Here is a 21,812-nt window from a genome sequence, read left to right on the forward strand (position 1 = left end):
ATGCCTAACTCATGCCTTAGGCATGGAGATCAATGTGTGGTGCGTCAGGGTATGTTTATTTTCGTCTATCAGCTGGATTTCACTAAGAGTGAAGAAACGGTTGGTAAACTTAATTTCTTAACAATTTGATGTCAGTGATATCACTGTCTGTATTTAAATGTAATTGGATATTTTATATCCAGCCATGTTCCTAGTGGGATTTTAGACATCGGGCAATAATACATGAAATACACCCAAATAACATAATTCATTTGTGAGTGAAAGACTTTTAGTTCCCTTCTCTTAACCGAGAATGGAGAGGAAGAATTCAGGAAATGAATGTCAACTAGTAGGGAGGAATTATGGGGAAGTGAAGATTTCTTTGATTTGAGGGTGCCAATGGGGCTGGGCAGAGGCAGAGCCAGAAGAATCCTGGTTAGTTTAACTCTGACCAGTTTGATCCCAATGTTCTTGGCTTGGGGAGTCCTTGGTGACTTGTGCGTAGATTATCCATGGATATTTCAAGGGGGTGGGAAGTGAGAGCTGAAATTAAGTGGTCTCAGGAATGCAGTAAAAAAAACCCCATGCGTGTAATGACACACACACCAGTTAAACTGGGTGGAAATTTTAAATCTCGGTTTTCTGCTAATTATCTTGAAATGGAAAAAACTTGCCCATTACACAACGCGCACCATGTCTAGGAGATTAAAACAAGCCACTTGTTTAGGAGAAGCGCCATTCTCCATTCCAGGATCAGTATGAAGTTCTCCTGGCACTCCTCCTGGAGCGCTCTGCTGGTAGAGATGTTGATGGATTATGGGACGTTAGGGTCAAGTGAGGCCTGCGAAAGGATAATTTTCTATCCATTCCTGAGTAACCACTCCGTGAACGTTAGCAAGCACCAAGAGGCCAAATGTAATATGTGCCTCTCATGTCAACCTCTCAAGTAGAGCTGTGGGTAAATGTTACTAGGTTTCTCTGCATACAATGTAGGTCATTGGTTCTTTTCATAAATAAGCTTGCCAAGAAATTTCATGTGTAAATCAAATACAGTACATCTGTTTCTGAAAGCATTTTTCACTGAACCAATTTTCTATACCTTTTTCTTGTATTCTTTTCCTTAGCTTTTGTTTATATGGTTGCTATATTTTTCAAGCCTCATACCAGTCATATAAAACCACGATAAAACTTCATCAAAGCATACTTGGGCAAATTTCAATTATCAAGTAAAATTGTAAAGAAAAATTTTTTACTAGTTTGGAAATAGATCTACATGTTTGATTTTCTTTCCTTCCTCCCTCCTTTGTTTCTTGTCTTTCTCTCCCCTTTCCTAAAAAGTTAATGGCTATCATTATCTTCACCAAATTAGTGTTTGTATACCCATAAAAATGTCACTAAGCTTTGATCTTAAACTCTTTTCTCAAGGCTGAAATTTTTGGTGATTTAATACTATAGCGTGTGTTTGTATTTGAATCATAAAAGATTGGGATTTAAAAATAATTTCTTAGCAATAGCTAATATATTATAAACTATAAACCAGTTGACAGTATAGAGAACTTCTCATTTGAAGGAAGGAACACACCTGTTCCATATTTTTAGACACATCCACTCTATTTCAAAAATAGTTTCAAAAGATTTAATGATTTTTTTGAGTCAGTTTTATTCAGGTAAAATCTACAGTAAAATTCACTTATTTTAAGAATAGAGCTCATTGAGTTTTGACAAATGTTTACAGTGGTGTAATTAATAAACCACATGATAAGCCACTGTTATCAACATGTAACACATTTCCAATACCCCAAAAAAGTTCCCTCACACCTCTTTGTACTTAACCACTCTCCCCTTCCCTGTCACCCACTAATCTGGTTTCTGTCCCTATCGTTTTACCTTTTCTAAAGTGTCATATAAGTGGAATCATACTATGTGTAGACTTGTTTTTTGCTTTTTTCACTTAGAATAATGCTTTTCACACATGCTCACTTTTACATTGTATGTGAAACATCCTTTGGATGGGTATAGCACGTGATCCTTGAGAGAGCTTATGAGATCCTACACACTTCTCTGTGTTGCAAAACTCTCAGCAGCACTTTGGTGTTCTTAGGAAAGGTTATTGTGGATTGCTTTTAGGGTTTTAGGGCTCTGTTGGGGTCTCTGGAATACAAGCTTTTTATTATCCTAGCCTTCCATCCCTCTAACTTATTATTTGGATTGGAAGAATGATTCCAAAGACCATCTTTGCTTGCTTGATCCTGTATAATATCTTAAAAAAGACAAAAAAAAAAAAAAGGCAGTTGACTTTAGTATGGCAAGGAATTGACTGTGTTTTATAGACTATGGAGTGAGAGTGAGTATGAACCATGTAGCCCTGCAGGTATTTTGAGGTAAAATTCATTTTAAGGCACATACTTTGTACATAAGATGCGTTGTTTATGAAGTGTTTTTCAGGACTATGTAAAATATAATTCTGATAGCATATTGTAAATATAAATTCTGAACCAATGTGAAATTCTTAATATACTGCAAATTACCTTCCTTCAGTGGTTTTCCAATTTAGGTTAACTTATGACCAGTCACCACATTGTTCAGGTCCTGATTACAAATCTATATTGAAAGAAAATGGAATAGACTCTTCTTTCTTCACTGATTTTAATTTAAAACTTAATTCATCAGTGTTGCAGAAAGTTACAGATTTGAGAAGTTTGATGGATCCATTTGAATTGTTTATAAAAACGTTCCCATGGATTGTGCATTTGGGGACTGCCCCTTGGTGCCCTTCTCTGTGTGTAGGACTTAGGACATCTTGTTGTGTGGACATGGCCATTATATTAGTGTCTTACTTTCCCTCCACTCACCAGTGTTTTATTTTGTGTTTATGTATTATGAATATTAACCATAAGCAGAGGGCTGCATTATTAAGAGACATTGTAAAGAATTAACATTTCTCATGTTTTATTGAACTTCCTTCCTTCCTATCTTTTTTTTTTTTTTGGAGTCTCTCTCGTTGCCCAGGCTGGAGTACAGTGGTGCAATCTCAGTTCACTGCAACCCTTGCCTCCTGGGTTCAAGTGAATCTCATGCCTTAGCCTCCTGAGCAGCTAGGACTACAGGCACGCACCACCATGCCCGCCTAATTTTTTTTTTTCTTTTTTCCTTTTTTTTTTTTTGAGGAGTCTTACTCTGTCATCCAGGCTGGAGTACAGTGGCACGATCTTGGCTCACTGCAACCTCTACCTCCCGGGTTCAAGCAATTCTCCTGCCTCAGTGTCCTGAGTAGCTGGGACCACAGGTGTGCGTCACCATGCCTCGCTAATTTTTTTGTATTTGTAGTAGAGACGGGGTTTTACCATGTTGGCCAGGCTGGTCTCGAACTCCTGACCTTGTGGACCACCCGCCTCAGCCTCCCAAAGTGTTGGGATTACAGGCGTGAACCACCGCACTTGGCCTGTATTTTTTAGTAGAACCCGGGTTTTGCTGTGTTAGGCTTGTCCCAAACTCCTGGCCTCAAGTGATCCACCTGCCTTGGCTTCCCAAAGTGGTGGGATTACAGGCGTGAGTCACCGTACCTGGCCAAATTGGTCACGTTCTTGAGTTATCTGCATAGAGAGATCCACAGAGTTAGATGTCACATTTCCAGCAGTTTCCCCCCTCATTCTGGTGGTGGAGGAGTCAGACAGCATCTACGCCTCATCCTGTCACACATATGCATTGCATGTGCCTTCCTGGTGCCTTCTCTCTTCCTTTTGTGTTCTCCCTCCATGATTCTCTGTCTTTTCCTTGTTTCTTGTTTTTCCAATCCCTTCAGCATGGCTGCCTTCCCTCTGAGTGAGGAAGGTGTGGAGCAGTACATCAGACATGTTCATTTTCTTCCAGCTTGCATCACTGAGTTAATGAGAGTCTGCCTCAGACAGAACTGCAGGTTTGAAGTCAGCGATGGAGAAAACTGACTCTGTCTTGGCGTATAATATACTGTTGAATGAAAGGGTTGTTGTATGTTTAACTTCCTCATTTAAAAGCCTCCTCAAAACACTTCTCCCATTCAGGCTGTTCAGGCAGGTTCTCAGACAGTTGATGGGTGATGGCTGGGAAGTTCATTCAGGAGATTAGTAGCAATTAGTTTCAGATTAATCAGAAAAGAAACAGAAAGGTGGGGGAACTACTCTGTCTGCTGTATGCCGAGGATTGGGATGAGTGCTTCAGGAATGCATACTTATCTTTCCTTTTTTTCCCCTGTATTTTTAGCTATAGATCCAGCATCCCACGTATTTATCTTTCCTAACTTCCCTAAATATTTTCTCCATTTATCAGATAATAGATTGAATCCACATTTGTTTCAAATTGAAATTTATTCCTAAAGTTGAGTAATTTTACAGGTTACAAAAACAACTTATGGTAAATCTGTTTGTAAAGAAGATCAACCTTTGGTGATGTATCCTTTAATTTTTAAGAATTCTAACTCTGACTCTGAGTTTTAGTACAAGGGCTTTTTGGCAGAAGAGGTCCATACTTGCATAAGTCAAACAGTAAGAACACTAGAACTTACACATTAAAAAACCTATTTGATATTTTCTCTTAATCGACACAGTGCCACTTACATTTATTGTTTCTTTTTAGGTTTTTTCCCAAGCAGCTCCCAAGGGTGTGATGCATTTCTTCGCCACAAGATGACATTGATTTCTCCATCAGTATTGAAGAAATATGGTATTCCCTTTGACAAGGTATGTTAGTATTCATCTTACACAAATTAATTTTGTTTGTGTAGGATTTGTATTTAAGAAGTAATGTATCTTTAACTTCCAGTAGAATTTTTAGGATGTGGGTAGAGAAATTCAAATTTATGTTTTATAGCATATCAATTATTTATCTAAATCCTAATTAGAAATTAATTTTATTTCAAATATATTTACTAGAGATTTCATGTTGCTATAGTTCACTTATAATTGTACTGAAAATAAAATGTAGCACATTCTATAAAATAAGAGGAAGCACTTCTATATTAAAATCTTTTTTATGAGTAACATAATTTATGTATATGTGATCTATTTTCTAAAAATTTCAGAGCAATTATTAGCAATGGGTTGCTTAGAATCAATGATTATGGTAGCACTATGTTGCTTGTAAACACATTTAGACATAATACAATCGAGATTTCATTATGGATAAAATTGCCTGATGATTTAATAATCTGATATTGCTTCTGCGAGTTTTCTGAAGATTAGGTTCTATAAAACTCAGTAGATGCTGGATCCCACATTCTTTGTGTCTGTGGGTGGTTATTGGGTCAGAATTATTGCAGAGCTCAAACATTTTTATGTGAAGCAGCTGATATGAAAAAAGGTTTTGACCAGATAAATAAAATCTCCCTCTCAGTCTCAGGAGGATTAAGTACTTAGCTGCTTGCAGAAACATTAAAAAATAGCTCTTCCTTCTTCTGTGTTTTTTTTTTTTTTTTTTTTTTTTGAGACGGAGTCTCGCTCTGTCGCCCAGGCTGGAGTGCAGTGGCGGGATCTCGGCTCACTGCAAGCTCCGCCTCCCGGGTTCACGCCATTCTCCTGCCTCAGCCTCCCAAGTAGCTGGGACTACAGGCGCCCGCCACTACGCCCGGCTAATTTTTTTGTATTTTTAGTAGAGACGGGGTTTCACCGTTTTAGCCGGGATGGCCTCGATCTCCCGACCTCGTGATCCGCCCGCCTCGGCCTCCCAAAGTGCTGGGATTACAGGCGTGAGCCACCGCGCCCGGCCCTTCTGTGTTTTTTATTTGACTTTTCTTCTCATAATCCTTGCTGCTTTCCATCTTGGAAGCTTTTTGCTTGTGACTAAATCTTTACATTTTCTTCACTTTAGGTTCTTACTGTGGCCTTCTTTTTGTGTGTGTGTGTGTGTGTGTGTGTGTGTGTGTGTGTGTGGGAGGGTGGGGGGGATTTGTTCAAAGTAGAAGTTTTTCAAGTGCCAGGGTTCATTCTTCAGCTTGAGGTGATTCCCTGCTCCCTCATAAACTGTCTATGCAGCAGTCACGCACAAGATATGCTTGCTTTTGTGAATGTGCCCTCATCACTGGTTTACTCGCACGTTTTTACCATGAAAAAATCGTGCCTCCGAGATGTGCACCGTGGGGGCTGCCTGCGGGTGTAGGGAGGCACTATGGATGGGCTGCAGAACTGCTGGGTACAGAGGGCACAGGCTGTGCCACTCAGAGGGGCTGCTGTGGCTGTGGGGCTTTGTCCCATCTGCAGACACCTCTGGGCACCAGGCTTTTGTGAGTCTCAGACACATCATCATCCAGTGCTTCTTTTAAGTAGTTGGCATCAGCTTCATTAGGTACTTTTACTTAAGTTGGACTGTTACAAGGTAGACGTGAAGGAATGCAACAGTATCCCCAAGACACAAAATCCTTCTCTGTTCCTTTGGGGCTGGTGTTAGGTGTTGGTGGTAGCTTAAGGCTGATACGTGAAGAGAAGTTATGTGAGGCAGCAGGGCTGTGGGATTGGCTCCCTTTCCCCAGGAGGGAGGCCTCTGGAGCTTGGAGCTCTTTTCTAGAGGTGCCTGGCACCCTCTTTCTAGGCTGCAGCTCTCTACCAGTACTACATGGTAGATCGCTGGAGGCATTGGGCTCTCATCTGGTGTTTTGTGGATGGCTTCTGTGGAAAGTGGCGAGATGAATTTAAGTCCTGAAATGGTGAAACACCAGTGACTTTGAGGGTTGATTGGCAGTGGCACTTCCTCATATTTAATACTGTCACTTCCCCTTTCCACCTCAACACAGGGCCTGTCATGACACTGTATTCCTCAAGAACCACATTTACCTGGTGATGATAGCGTAACATATGATAGGGCAGCACAATGGTAGCACAGGCTGCAGGATTAAACCTCCTGAGTTCATTCCTGATTCAGTCGCATAATCTTTCCGAGCTTTAGTTTCTTCGACTGTAAAATGGGATAAAAATAGTGACTACTTAATAGGGTTACTGTGACGAGAAAGATAATCTATAGACAGAGTTTTGAATAGTATATGTTGCATAGTAACGTACTCTTCCTCTTCAACTCAGCCCTCTTCCTGTAGGTAATAATGTCTCAGTTGGAATACATTTTTTCCTTCTTTCATTGTATTTGCCATATTCATACATATGTATGAAAACATAAGTGTAATAAACAGCTGATGTCTGCATTTAGATTATATCCACTCTCTTCTCTAGCTTCTTTTATGGTATGAGATTGGGACTGACCTGTTTTTGGAAATGACAGGGGCCTAAAATTCAGAGTTGCATTCTGTGTAACAGGTGCTCTTTTTTTTTTTTAAATCATGGCATGAGCTGGATTTTCTAGGTAGGGTAGAGAAGGTTTGTAGGTAGGATTCCATGGAGCGGGAAAAGTAGTTTTCTTGTTCCAGTGGCAGCAGTCCTCCCTCTCCTCTCACCTTTATGTGGGAGCAGGGTGAGTTTTGTTTCATTACGTAGGATAAGAAAGAAGCACCTAGATAATTAATTAGATTCAGTGAGACCAGGAAAGGAGAGAGTTGGGCTATGTTCTCACGTGGCTCAGATAATGGAGCTTGAACCGTGCTGGGCACTGGTAAGCCTGTCTCTGCTGCCAGGTGACAACTGAGCTCATTGCAGCAGAACATCTTCTGGGGTTTCTTTGGCACGGGACAGTGGTGTTATGAGTTACATTTCAGAATTGTTGGGAAAAATAATACTTTCCCCATCTCCAATACCATTTTAGCATCCATAACATGGCAAAGCTAATCAGTGGTGAAAGGTATCAGAAGAGTGATTATTACTGAGGTGGGAGTAGGGGATGGGCAGGGGATGGTCTAGGTTAGGGATGAGGGAGCGCTCTTGGGTGATGAAATAATAGGGGCATGGACAATTATCCATAGCACCATTATTCCTAGTGCCCAAATTGGAAATGACCAAATGTCTGTTGGCTGATGAATAAATAAGCAAGTGTGATATATTTTATGTAATGGAAGATTATTCAGCCATAAAAGGAAGTGAAGTACTGGCACATGCTACAACCTGGGTGAACTTTGAAAAGTTTATGCTAAGTGGAAGAATTCAGTAACAAAAGATCATACTTTATATGATTCTATTAATATTAAATATCCATTATAACAAATCTGTAGAGACAGAAGATAAATCAGGGGTTTTCTTAGGGCTGGGATGAATGAGGGGCTTGGGGATGACAGCTAAAGGGTGAGGGGGTTTCTTTTTGAGGTGATAAAATGTTCTAAAATTAATTGTGATAGTTGCATAACTTTGTGATATACTAAAAACCAACAAATTGTACACTTTAAATGAGTGAATTTTATGGTATGTGAATTACATTTCAATAAAGTTGTTACTGAAAATAAAATACTTTAAAAAACACTATATGTATATACAGATATTTGTCCAAAGAAACAAAATACTACAAATGTAGCTATTACTGTTTCAGTCTCTTCTCCCTCCCAGAGATAAGTAATTTTCTGAGGTTGATATATTTAATAAATATATTTCTTCCTTAGATTTTTATCATAAAAAAAGAAAATAGGGGCATGGGATATACAGGTATATGCATTTGTCAAAACAGATCAAACTGTACATTTATTATCTGAGCATTTTATTATATGTACATTATATCTCAAAGAAAATATAAGTTGTATTAGGGTCAGTAGGATAATTAAAAATGTGGTTTTACAACTTTTATTATCAGAGCTAGCAGAGAATACAGGCTCTGAATGTGAACATACAGCATTTGCTAAATACTTTGGCAATATGTGTCAAGGAGAAACATTGCTTCAGTGGCCAAATCCTATGAGTATTTTTATATTACTTTGCAGCAACTGAAAGAATTTAAAGATATAAGGGGTCTATCCTATTGGGTGCTGCTGGGTTAGAAACATTTTAAGATCAGATAATCCAAAACAAATATATTATATTATTCCATTTGAAGGAGTGAGCAATAAGTTTTATAATTTTTGTATCGGATAGATACTTTTTTAAAAAAGAAACAACACTACATTTTTCTTCACTTTTTCTGTAGACCATGGGATATTTTGTGTTGCTTTGGTGATTGTAAAAAAAAAGTCTTTAATCTAAAAAATAGAAACAGGGTAAATACATTTAAAATTCTTTTTTAAAGGCTCAGGCTTATTTATGCGAGTTATTTTAATTATACTTAAAAATGCACTCACTCTAACATACATATATTTGAATAATTCTTTTAACAGAAGTTTTACTGTGAAATGGACTGTGCTTAATTGAATGTTTTCTAGGTGCTAGGAAAAAATAATTTGATGAATATCACCAACTCTTTACCAACAAGAATTCATGATATAGCCTGCCAAGCATGTATTATCAAAGTTTCTGTAGCTGTAGCTTTAACAATGTCAGTTATTATATGATTTTTATATGTAACTCCAGTAATGCAAGTTATTAAAATATAAGAATATATAGCTTGATAGCTAATATGAACAAATTTACTTGAATAACCTGAAGATACCTTCAATTAAAATGTAATAGCTTTGAGTATGGATTGTTTGATTTAATTCAAGTGCCAGCAAGCCACATCCTATTTAGGAAAGTCTTTTAAACGTTTCCTGAAAAAGCACTATTAAAGGATTAAGTAATGAATCTGGTGGAACTCTTTTTGGTAGTGCTCTGATATCAAGACTTTTTTTCTTTGTTTTTTAATGGGAAATATATTTTAATTGTATTCATAATTTAGGAAGTCTTATTTTTACAAAATATTATATGTTTCCTACCTTGCAGATAACCCAGGAGGCTGGAGAATTCATGATCACTTTCCCATATGGCTACCATGCTGGTTTTAATCATGGTTTCAACTGTGCAGAATCTACAAATTTTGCTACTGTCAGATGGATTGACTATGGAAAAGTTGCCAAATTGGTAAGCTATGCCTCAAAAATAAAGCAAAAATTAAATGTGTATTCTGGTTATTTTAGTAGGAACCCTACGATCCTGTGCAGCATTTATTTATTCTTCCTCACTGGCGCCATGTGCCTCTCACCACAGCAATTCACTTCAGGCTCGATACATTTATTTTACATAGCCAATATTACCAATTTTAGCTGAATTTGTCTGTTTTGAGATTAATGTGGAGCAATTTACCCTGATAGGTAATTTGATGCGACGTGTGTTTGCTTTTTATCTTGAGGCCTCCAGTTGGTGTTTTGCAAGATTTTCCAGTGGCATCATGTGGCTCCATGTTAGGTAGACTCAGATCTCTCCCTGTTTGCGATCAGTTTGTGGCTTAGAAAACAGCACTTTACAGAAGGGAGTGTCTGATAAAATTGTAGCAAGAGATGGAGGGAGGTTGGTAGGAGGAAATGATTAAAACTGCCCTTAGTGCAGAAATGAAATTCTTGAAAGTAATCATGTAGAACACATTTTAACAGGAAATACATATTCATGTTAAATTTGGTATAAAATTTTGCATCTCCTGCCCAGTGTATTTAATTTAGCTCACATAGTGGGTATTTTCTTTCACAGGCAATAACTTCTATTAAATTTAATTACTTTCCCCCTGTGGTGTTAAATAGAAGACATCTTCAAAGTGATGGTGGTTTCTATTAGGTTTGCTTCCTTTCCTGTGGCTTTTAAGGGAAAGGTGCAGGCTGGCAGAGGGCAGCTTCTAAATAAAACTGTGTGTTTTACAGAGGATGTAAAGTTGACGTAGATTTAGCAGAAAATGATAAATAAAGCGTATGTGGTCTTATTTTGGCCATTGCATGGCTCAACTGAATATCATTCATTCTACACTGATAAAACTTACATGTGGAGCCATCAGGTGAACGTAGACAGAAGTATATTTAGGGGAGACAACTCTTAGTTTAATTTACCTGTGTATTTAGAAAATTGCATAATATATTAAAAGATAAATAAAATATAGCCCTTTGGCAGCCCAGGAGTCATTCGAATACATTCTTGACATAAAGGAAAGCCCCTGGTATTAGAAGACTTTTTCTGTTCTAAGTAATTTCTGTTTATGCTGAGTAATTCAGAAAGGAACAGAACTGTACTACTACTTCACATTGTACATCCTGTGTATTCTAAGAACTCAGTGTGTGTACTTTGGCCAACCACTGCATTGCTTTTGTGGAAATGTAATGCTTGCATCTGCCTTGAAGCAGTGTCTTGGCCACGAGGTTATAACAAGGTCTGTTATTTTATAGTTTGCACCTTTACTTACAGATATAAGTCAGCTATTACAGCTGTTCAGAGTCACCACAAATATTGATTCTTGTTTAATACAGGTCTCAGAAGTAGCCTATGATATTGGCCAGAATAGGACATTCCAGCCTTGGGGAGAAGCTAAACTACCATGTACATTGGAGTTGCATTTCCACATTTCCATGTGGAAGTAGAGTGGGTGTGGAGTGGAAGGAAGAGAGGCTGGTAGTGCTCCTCTCTGAAATCCCAGCTGACAGAGCCCATCACAGTTGTGGGAATGTGAAGTGTTGCACTGTGGTGGAGGAGGCTGGATCTGACAACCAAGTTTTCTTCTCTGGCTAGCCATGTAACATTAGGAAAGTCATTTATTCTTCATATATAAATTAGAAATACCTCTCTACCCTATGGGTTAGAGAAAAGAACTTAGGTATGTGACTATCTGTTTATTCAGTTTAGTAAGGGCTATGACTGTTTTGTTTGGTTCTGGGTACAAAATATTCAGTGCTACAATGCAGTTTTGGCCAGCTAATTAAAAATTGCTCTAACTGAATGTATTTGAGATTTTTTCAGTGTTATGGCCACCCCTTACTTCCTTTGGCCAGGTGATGTCATCTGAGAATATATTAGTTGTCTCTTGCTGCTGTAGCAAATTACCACAAACTTTGTGTTTAGAACAATAGCCATTTATTATCTCATGGTTCTGTAGGTAATAGGCCTAGCATTGGTCTCACCAGTTAAATGTCAAGATGTTTGCAGGATTGCATTTCTTACTGAGACTCTGGGGAAGAATTCATTTCCTTGCTCCTTTGGGTTGTTGGCTGAATTCACTTCCTCACAGTTGTAAGACTAAACGTTCATATTTGTTGCTGACTGTGAACCAGAGGCTGGACTTTTCTCCTAGAAGCCTCTCTCTAGTCCTCCTGTGTAGTTCCTGCATTTCAGAGCAGGCAATCCGCAAAATCCCACGTGTCATGCAAGATAGCGCATTCAAAGATCTCTGGGATTAGGATGAGGACATCTTTGTTGGGGGTGCAGGAGGGGAAGCATCTGCCTACTACTACAGGGGGTACCAATTTATCATTGACATATTTAGAATCTGCTTTGGGCTGGGGCAGTAGCTCATGCCTATAACTAGCACTTTGGGAGGCTGAGGCAGGAGGATTGCTAGAGGCCAGGAATTCAAGACTAGTCTTAGCAACAGAGTGAGATCTTGTCTCTACAAAAAATAAAAACAAAAATTAAGAAAAAAGAATATTTTGAGTTATGTAACCAATTTTAGTTATTTTGCATAAAAACAGGAAAATAACTTTATAAAGAGATAGTTTCGAATGTTTCACTAAAATATCATGTGCTTTCTTAATTTATACCATCAATACTAATATTTTCATGTCTATTCTTGGATAATAAATTACCTTACATTATAGTAAGCTGAGTTAGCATTTTTTTTACCCAGATTTTGGTATCTTTAATCAGTTATTTGACACATATTTTTGATCTCCAAGTCTGATTCTTTAGGTAACCTTATGAATTTACTGTGTTGCATGTATATGTAGTTTCTAATCCCTGGCAAATTTGTGCACTGGGCATACATTTATGTGTTTTCCTGGAAACTGATGTGTAGTGAATTGCACTAAAAAGACTTTTAGCATTGAGGATGCCCATATTTGTCTTAATTCTTTGTCTTCATCAGTTTGTTCTAAATGGTAACTATAAAAAAGTCATTGTTCATAAGTGATTATGAACAATACTTTTATAATTACTATGAAAATATGAGCACTTTTTCATAATGAGGCATTGGTGGTGATGCCACCTGCTTTACCTGTCACATGGGGTTTATTGAATGTGTATAAGTATCTGATAAATTATTTGTTGTACAGCATTAAATAAGCAAAATAGTGCAGAGTGTGGGGTCTGCATACATTATATGTGCATATATGTAATCACAAACACTATGAAATATATATATATATATAAAAATATAATTTTGTGTAATACAAACCAGTATTTTTAATTAGGTGACTCAGAAAAGAGCTGTTAGAGAAGGCAATTTGTTTTTTAATTAAAAAAAAAAAGTAGGTTTTGAAAAGATAACCTCATGTTCCCCAGTAGGGACCTTTTGATCATAAGTCAACAGGCTTTGTCATTAGGGACCTTTTCAGATGTCTCAGATGGCTGGTAGAAGGGGGAGAAGTTCTACTTATGGAGACTAGGCTTATCTGCTGTGTGCCAGGCATCATGTATGTTTCTATGAATTCATCACTCGTGAGTCATTGTTCTATGAGAACAGGGGTGAGAGTAGAGTTGACACTGGGAGGGGTTCAAGGTCTGCTTCCTTTGCTGTTGGCTACTTGACTTCTTCTGGTGTCCCTGGAGCAGGACTGGAGAGGGGGCTCCTGTGGCTTTCATCGGAATCTGTTACTGACCTATTGATATGTGATAGTTGTTCAATAAATCTTCCTGGCTCTTAAGATTTGGGTACATTTGATTAGAAATTTCATTATTTGTGTAAAGCTCAGATACACTTCCAAATTTTAGCAAATTCCTGGATGTTTGATATTCTCAGCTGAATTATTGTATTTAGGAGAGGTGTCTGTCCCTGTGCGTAAATTCTCTGTTTTTTCAGTCCTTCAGTCCAGATGGTCTTTTTTCACAGTATCCATCCAAACTGCCTCATCTCTCAAACAGACTTTTTTTGTGTGTGTATGGATTGTGTAGAAGATCTGGGGAAAATAGGCAGAGGAGAGAGTGAAGGGACATTTACCTTTTAGTTTTGGTAGCTGCTTAGTTTGACCATCCCTGTTTCTAATATTCTCTGATAATGGCCCAGGCCTTACCATTCTCCTCTCATTTCTGTCTTTGCTTGTGTTTTCCCTCAATGAGGATCATTCTGCTCTCTTGTCTTAACTTGCAAAATATAGCATAGCCAAATCCTGTAAGATGCTCCAGAACAAAAGGGCCTTGCATTTAGCAGGAACAACTGACCTAAGAAGGCAGTTGTGTAATTTTCCCCCATTTCTCTAATCAAAGACAAGATCATTACTGAAAAAAATTGAGAGTGATGTTTCAGGTAGTCACATGTTCATTTGCTGCTGATGGGCAGAGGTCAGATTTGGTGAGTGCCCAGTGAGTTCCTCCTGTGCTACATGTGTGTACAAAGAAGAAAAACATATATATTGTCTTCAAGGAGCTTTCAGAAAGAACAGAGGGGCTTTTAATAAAACTCCACTTGCAAAGTTGTAGTATTAATGGAACGTAACATCTAGTTCTTTGTTTTAGGAATCTTTGTAGCTTTGAATGTTGGCATAACAGAGTGAAATGCAATTATTTTTTCTTGATAGAGATTTAAAAATACTTCAACAGCTCGTTTAGCAGTTGAAATAAGACATTTGTGCATATTTGAGCTGACTGTTTTCTGTTTCTGGAGCATTCTTTCCTTCTGTGGTGGAATGAAGTCCGTGATTACTCTGTGCAGCTGCTGCCGTGACACTCACAGGTCTGCTTCCTGGCCAGGTTGGATCAAAGCGCCGGCCGGCAGGTTGTATTTCATTTTTCCGTTTGCTGGGATGAAGTGCAGTTGTTTGATGTTAGGTTTGATGGATTTGTTTGCCACTGCATTCATTAGCTTCACATCAAAAAACTGACAGGCTGTTAAATGAAACTTTGGCTTAGATTTTCAGCTTGACTGTTTGGAGACATTTGTGAAGATATTTTGTGTTTGTGTTTCAGCAGCCTCAAGCACTATGATTGTCTCGAAGGGAAGAAAAGTTATTTACTGTACTGATTTTCTTGAGTAAAAAAGAATCATTGTCTTGGGGACAGTCATATCTCGTTTATACCGTCTGAAGCAGTGTATTTATTACAGTGTGTGCAGTGAAAGAGACTTACTGTGTCAGAATAAATATTATCTTATTGGAAGGAAAGGTAATAGTTGGTGACACAAAAATGATATCTTTTATTTTAATTTTAAGTGATCATATTAACATGATATGTCAGAAAGTTGAAAAACTGTACTGCAGAGCTGGGAATGTTCTCTTATAAACTCCAGGAGTACTACCTTACTATCTAATTTTAAGACATTTTGATACTTGAATCCTCAAATGTTTGAACAAGTTTAAAAAGAGATGATAGAATTTTAAAACTGATTTCCCTTTAATCTGGCAGGGGTTTCAACTATTAAATTGTCTAGCATGTAAGTGCCATGATGTGGGTTCATTCTATTTTATATTTCAATTCTCTAAAATTAAGTTAGATATTTCTTAAATCTGGTAGCATCCTTCCAGAAAATCTTTAATCTTGGGCAGTCTTTATTAAAACAATCAGGGATCATTTTTGTGGTGAGTCTCTAGGTTATATTTTAATATGCTTTTGATCACAAAATACTAGTATAGTGATATTTCTCTGTTCCTGTGACATGTGAAGGAAAGAAAATGTAGACTGCTTTGAGTATTGTTCATTTTAACAGTTCTTGGCATTTCAATTTTAAGTGTCTGACATGACATATATAATATGAACTTAGTGAGTATGGGGATTTTATGTTCTGCATTTTTTTTTTTTTTACCTCTACTTTTTGCTGTTTCTGATTCCTAGGTTCTGATGGTACAGTGTAACAGAGCTGATGAGTAGTTTTGCTGCGCTCTTTTATTTTTTTGCTTTACTTTTAAGAGCATCTATAGGTTCACAGCAAAATTCAGAGGAAAGTATAGAGATTCCCCATATTCCCCTTCTCCCCACATGTGCATAGCCCCCCACATTATCAATATCCTTAACCAGAGAGGTGCATTTGTTACAAATAAAGAACCTACAATGATGCATCATTATCCCCCAATGTCCATAGTTTTTTTTAAACTTTTATTTTTTAAGGAAACCCAGGCAACCAGACCAAAGTCCGTAGTTTACATTAGGGCTCACTCTGGGTGTTGTACATTCAGTGGGTTTGAACAAATATACAATGACAGGCATCTGACATTGTAGTATCATACAGAGTGGTTTCACTGCCCTATGAGTCCTCTGTGCCTTTTCCATGGGGGTGTGTGTGTGTGTGTGTGTGTGTGTGTTTAACTTGCTAGCTCATGAGAAACCTCTACCTCTGGAGAGAGTGTTCACACATCTGGAAGAAGTATTAAGAGATATGAAGAACATAGTCACATTATGTCCTCTTTTTATACTGAAAAAATATTGAGTTGTGGGATTCAGGATATCTGAAACTTCAAGAAGTCTGAGACTTCAGGTATGATGGTATCAAACCAGTTGGTTAGTATATATTGCTGAAGTCTGGAGCTAGGGAGCCTGATTTCATTTGTTGTTAACTTGCATTTGCTGCATTATGGGATTTGAAAGGAAGTGATAAGCCTCATGATGCTGATGTTTAGTTCTTAACCTGAAATCAAGGCATTATCTGCTTTTGAGTCTATAGTTTGTCAGTACCTTAAAAGAAAGTAAATTTGCCTTTTGAATAACTTCTATACTCTATTGAGAATTAGTTTGTTTTTAATTCAGTCTAGTTTCTTGTAGTTAAATACAATAGTAATAATATTTGACATTGTCTCCAATATGTCAGATCGAGCTCTGGGCACTAGACACATCTTATTTTTCTTGATCAGTGATGATGCACATTCAGAGATAATTGCTTTCTGTCCTATACTGGCCCCCTTTTTACAATGTGTCATTTTCAGGGTGGTCCTATATCTTACGTTGAATTGGAGGGAGTTTGGGATGAAGAAGAAAATAGGGCAGTGAGGCCCGGCTTAGATGTAGGTTTGCCCCCAATGTCCTGTACCCTTCTGGACTCATTTTTCTAGGTGTAATGGCTTAAATAAGCGCCAGCCACGTGTGTGATTTGTGGGATCACTCTCAAGATTCTTGAAGATTCAGAATGGTCTTGTCCCATGAAAGCTGTAGCTGATGTCACCACCAAGTGGCTTTGGACTCTATCTCACAATTGGTTGAGTTTGGATTCCTAAAGTCAGTGGAGCCAGGGGCATGGTGGCATACGCCTGTCATCCCAGCACTTTGGGAGGGTGAGGTGGGAGGACTGCTTGAGCCCAGGAGTTCAAGGTTACAGTGAGCCGTGATCACACCACTGCACTCCAGCCTGGGCAACAATGCAAGACCTGTCTCAAAACACAAAGAGAAGCCAATGGACATGTTATTTTGGATTCGTCTTCTCTGTCGATAAACCTACATGTGAATTCCTTTTTAGTCTGTAGTGCAACCGTCGTTAACTCTGAGGCTTTGACTTTGCTCTTTGATTAAGGCGGTAGGGGTGAGAGCAAAGGTTTTCTACCTTCTCTTTCATTTTATCAAGTGTGTGTGGGGAAGTTCTGAGGCATCTGTCTGGATAAAAGGACTTGTGTATAGAGAATGAGGTCAAAGTTAAGGGCCACCTATCTCAATGTATGTTTGTATGATTATCAGGGGCCAAATTTTAGTGTAGCACTTTTGAAGCTTTAGGATTCTTTTTTTTTTTAATGCCTTAGTTTGGACTTTTCCATATTTTTTCAGTGTTTATAATAGTAAACACATAGGAAAAATTTTTACTAAAGGCTCTATTCTAGACATGGTGACTGCAGAAGAAGGCAAAAGTTGGTAGTGTGTTTTCTGGCTCATGATTACCCAGAAGAGAAAGCAGTGGGCAGAACATGAGGTGACGTTTGAGAGAAGCAGGCTGGCCAACCCCTGGAGGGAAGGAGGGACTGGTGGGAGAGTCAGCAGGGCCCTGGGCACCCCCCAGAGTTTGCCATAGTCAGATGCCCTGGCTTCCCACAGCTTCTCATCCATGCAGGCTTTCCTGCACTTCCACCCCTGCAGGTTCTGCTGAGGTGACACACAGTGGTTTATCTCAAAAGGGCTCTTACCTCACATAAGGGATTGTCAGATATGTGCTCCTAGGGTTGGTGTAGCAGCTCAGCAACCTCATGAGGTCTCATGCAGTTCCTGTCCTTCAGATTCACTGTCTCTGGGCAGGCTTGTCTTGATAGCTGTGCTTACTTCAGACATCTTGCTGCCAAGGGCAGGAAGCGAGACAGTGTGAGAACTAGGCTCATCTACCCCCATTTGCGAGGAAAATCTTTCCTTGAAACACACTTGAAAACATCCTTTTATGTCCTGTGGCCAACTGTTAGAAAGGCTGGAAAGGTAACTGGCGAGTAACTGGTGTTTTTAGGGAAAGGGGCTCTGCCTGTGGAGAAGAAAGAAAAAGATGGAAGAAAGAAGGAAAAAGATTCATTGACAGAATCTGCCACAATATGTGCTTCTGATACCTCATTTCGTGACACATATTTACTTTTAGCACCTATTATTTGGTGGGCCCTGTGCTGTGGCTAAAAAACTAAGTAAGACATGTAGTTTCTGTATAGTGGCGCTTACAGACTTCAGTCTATGTTCTCAGCTCTGTGGAACATTATAAGTATGGACCCCTGGCCCCACCAAAATCAGTAGGATTAGAATATCTGAGGATAAGGGACAAACATTTGCATTTCTGAAATCTTCCTGTGACTCTGGTGGATGCTGTGGGTTGAGAGCCATGGGTTTTTAGGGAGTTAAATTAGGCCTTTGTTGTTTGGGTTGGGGTTCTTCTGCATCTTCTATTTTTTTCCACCAGTATGAATTTTGAGTTCCAAAACATTAACTTAATATCTATTTATAAATTGGAGATGTGTAATGTTTTGTACATATATCATTTACAGTCTCTTTTCTCCAAGAATTAATAGGTGTTGTGAACACATATAGAATTGTGCCCACATATTTCATGATCAAGTAAACATGCCCAGTAGTACTTTTAAGGGGAGGAAGGGAGAGTGTTGGAAAAGAAATAGAGTAGATGTTAAAGATAGGAATGCACTGTATATACCTCTTTCTGAAGAGCTTAGTAAATGTCCTGATGGCTGTCAGGAGTGCACGTAAAAAACCCAACATAATCACCTGGGACTGTGTTGGAATTGTCGTTCTGTGTGGAATAGTTGTGTGACCTGGGGCAAATGACATGTTTCTGTGAGGCTTAGTTTTCCTACCTGTAAAGAGGGCGTTCACTTGTGCCTCACAGGTTGTGAGGATGCGGGTGGTGATGGGAGAACTCGCCTGGCACCATGTCCCTCTCCCCAAGTACATATTTAGGAAGTGACTCATTGTGGGTCATTTTTATGTCAGGGAACTCCCTGAATATTAATTTGGGGGAAGACTGGTGGAGTTCAGGCCTGAGGTGCTGAGAAACAGTGTCTGTGGGGACAGTGTTTGCAGGGTAAGTGTCAACAGCAGGCTGGGCAGATGGATATTAGATAGTTTTACTGACTTCTCACTCGCATTCAGGTGTACTTTTTTGCTAAAATGAAGGCAGTATGAAAAGAAGTGCCAATAACTAACAGTGGGTTTTTGTGGACCAGATTGCTGAGAGAAGGAATTTGAAGGAGCTGTTGCTTATATCTTCAGAAACACAGTGTAGCTCTTGTGCCCCTTGTTGAATTTGAAAGGCCGTGTTTTGTAATCCCTTGGAAAAAACACCATCCTGGATGGTAGAGATTACTGCTAAGCTTTGACTGTATTTCCCACATCAGTTTCATATACTTCAGGTTTTTTGATTCGATTAAAAAAACCCAATTAGTTTCTATTAACTGTTTAAAATTTTCGTAAAAGGTATTTTTGTAAGGCCTGATAATCATTTTCATTGATTTTTGGCAGCATATTCCCAGTTCTTAGGAATGCATATTCAGGGTTGTCCTTTGATTTTGAGTGTTAATTTTTTAAAAAGATGACTGTTTTGTTGATTATTGAAATAGCATGAAAACTTGTTTCTTTGAAGGTAAATAAAATTGAAACAGTTTTCAAACTTATATAATGATTTCTTTTCTTTTTTTAAATCATATTAGTAAAGATAATAAGAAAATGCCCAGTCCCCAGGAGAATGTAGTTGGTAGAGTGGGCACTGTGTTCTCTTGGCAGGAATATGATTGGAGTAAGCATCCTGAAGAGAAGGTGGGCAGTGTGCATCAGTCTTGGTAAACATCTTCTTGCGCTTTTACCATTTTCTCACACTCTTAGGAAATGAGCAGAAATGTAGGCAAAAGGTGATTGTTGTAGTGCCAGTTTTATCAGTGAAAATAGAATTGTAACTAAAATGTCCAATGATATAGGAATCATTGAATAACCAATTGTGTCCATACACTGTAATTTTTAAAAATTTTACAGAAAAGCATTGGAAAGGAAATCACTATGGCTAATAATATTACTACCCAAATATCCATTGTTGAAATTTGTAAAAATAAAAATATTTAATGGCACCCTTTCTAGTTTATTAAAGGTAAAAAACTGTTAACAGTTCATTGTATATCTCTTAAAATATCAGCATATATCTGTATCTTTTCGAAAATCTACACAATGTTATTCAAGATCCTATAGATTATTTTGCCATGTCTTTAATATATCATTCTGTTCAATATATCTTTCATTAGCCGGGCGCGGTGGCTCACGTCTGTAATCCCAGCACTTTGAGAGGCTGAGGTGGGCAGATCACTTGAGATCAGGAGTTCAGGACCAGCCTGGCTGACATGGAGAAACCTCATGTCTGCGAAAAATACAAAAATTAGCTGGCATGGTGGTGGGTACATGTAATCCCAGCTACTTGGGAGGCTGAGGCAGGAGAATTGCTTGAATTTGGGAGGCAGAGGTTGTGGTGAGCTGACATTGTGCCACTGCACTCCAGCCTGGGCAACAGAGTGAGACTCCATCTCAAAAAAAAGAAAAAAAAATCTGTATCTATGTCTATCTATATATTTATACCTATATCTATATATGTCTTTCATTTACAGCAAGTAAAACATTTCTGGGTTATAGATACTTACTACAAGAAAATTGTTGTAGCGTATCCCAAAAGAATGTGACAGGTGGTTTGCAGTGGATTTTTTTTTTTTTTTTGAGGGGCATCACAGAACCACAGTAGTACATAAGAGTTCATTGCACAGATCTTGTTAACAAATCAGAATGTTGAAAATGAACACCTTAGCTCATGGCTCTGTTTGCATTCCCTGGGTGCAGAGCAGATGGTAGGTGGGCTTGTGCTTGGTGCACGGGTCCAGTCTTGTCTTTGTTGATGGGCTGTGTCCACACCTGTCACCTCGGCTTATTCCACTACAGTTAATACTGGAAGAGATTTATAATGCCTTTGCAGTTTCTGTTTTACTGAATGACAGCATTTATAACTGGGTCTGTATATTTGAAGGAATGTATTTTTAAGAAAAACTTTAATAAATTCCTTTAGTAATGCCTTTCTCTGGCATCATAAAGGAGTATTCCAGTGAATTTGGAAGATACGAGAGGAAAAAGTAACTAAACGGCGTTAGTCAACAGTTTTGTGGCAATGGGAAATTAAACTGGGAATAACACAAAAGAAAAAAAAACCTAGCTTGGTTTCTAAGTACGAGCCTAGGCAAGGAGGGCTACATTAAACAAAAAACAAACAAACAAAAAAATCCTCAGCACAACAAAATGCTAACTGCAATAACCATAAAGGATACTATAGATTTAAAACATTATTGTCCATTGTTGCAGAGAGCAGATGGTGCTTAAAATATCCTTTAATTTGATGTGCTTCTTAAAAGAGCAAACAGCCAAAGAGTATATATCATCTATATTAAAAAATTAAATGCAAGCTTTTCTATTTTTGAGGATGCCATA

At 38.3% G+C, this 21,812-nt stretch overlaps 1 protein-coding gene across 21 annotated transcripts in view; it reads left to right on the forward strand.

The window, feature by feature from the left end:
• KDM4C (lysine demethylase 4C) overlaps positions 1–21,812 on the forward strand; it is a 454,786-nt gene that overhangs the window by 162,507 nt on the left and 270,467 nt on the right. For all 21 annotated transcript variants that reach the window (NR_148680.3, NR_148679.3, NR_148677.3 and 18 more), the window contains 2 exons: positions 4,591–4,694; positions 9,726–9,863. Coding sequence is in view for 12 of the 21 variants with exons in the window: in NM_001146696.2 (NP_001140168.1) it covers positions 4,591–4,694; positions 9,726–9,863 (242 nt within the window). In the remaining 9 variants the exon portion in view is untranslated. The remainder of the gene's footprint in view (positions 1–4,590; positions 4,695–9,725; positions 9,864–21,812) is intronic.

This window comes from Homo sapiens, chromosome 9 (assembly GCF_000001405.40).
Source record: "Homo sapiens chromosome 9, GRCh38.p14 Primary Assembly".
Taxonomy (NCBI): domain Eukaryota; kingdom Metazoa; phylum Chordata; class Mammalia; order Primates; family Hominidae; genus Homo; species Homo sapiens.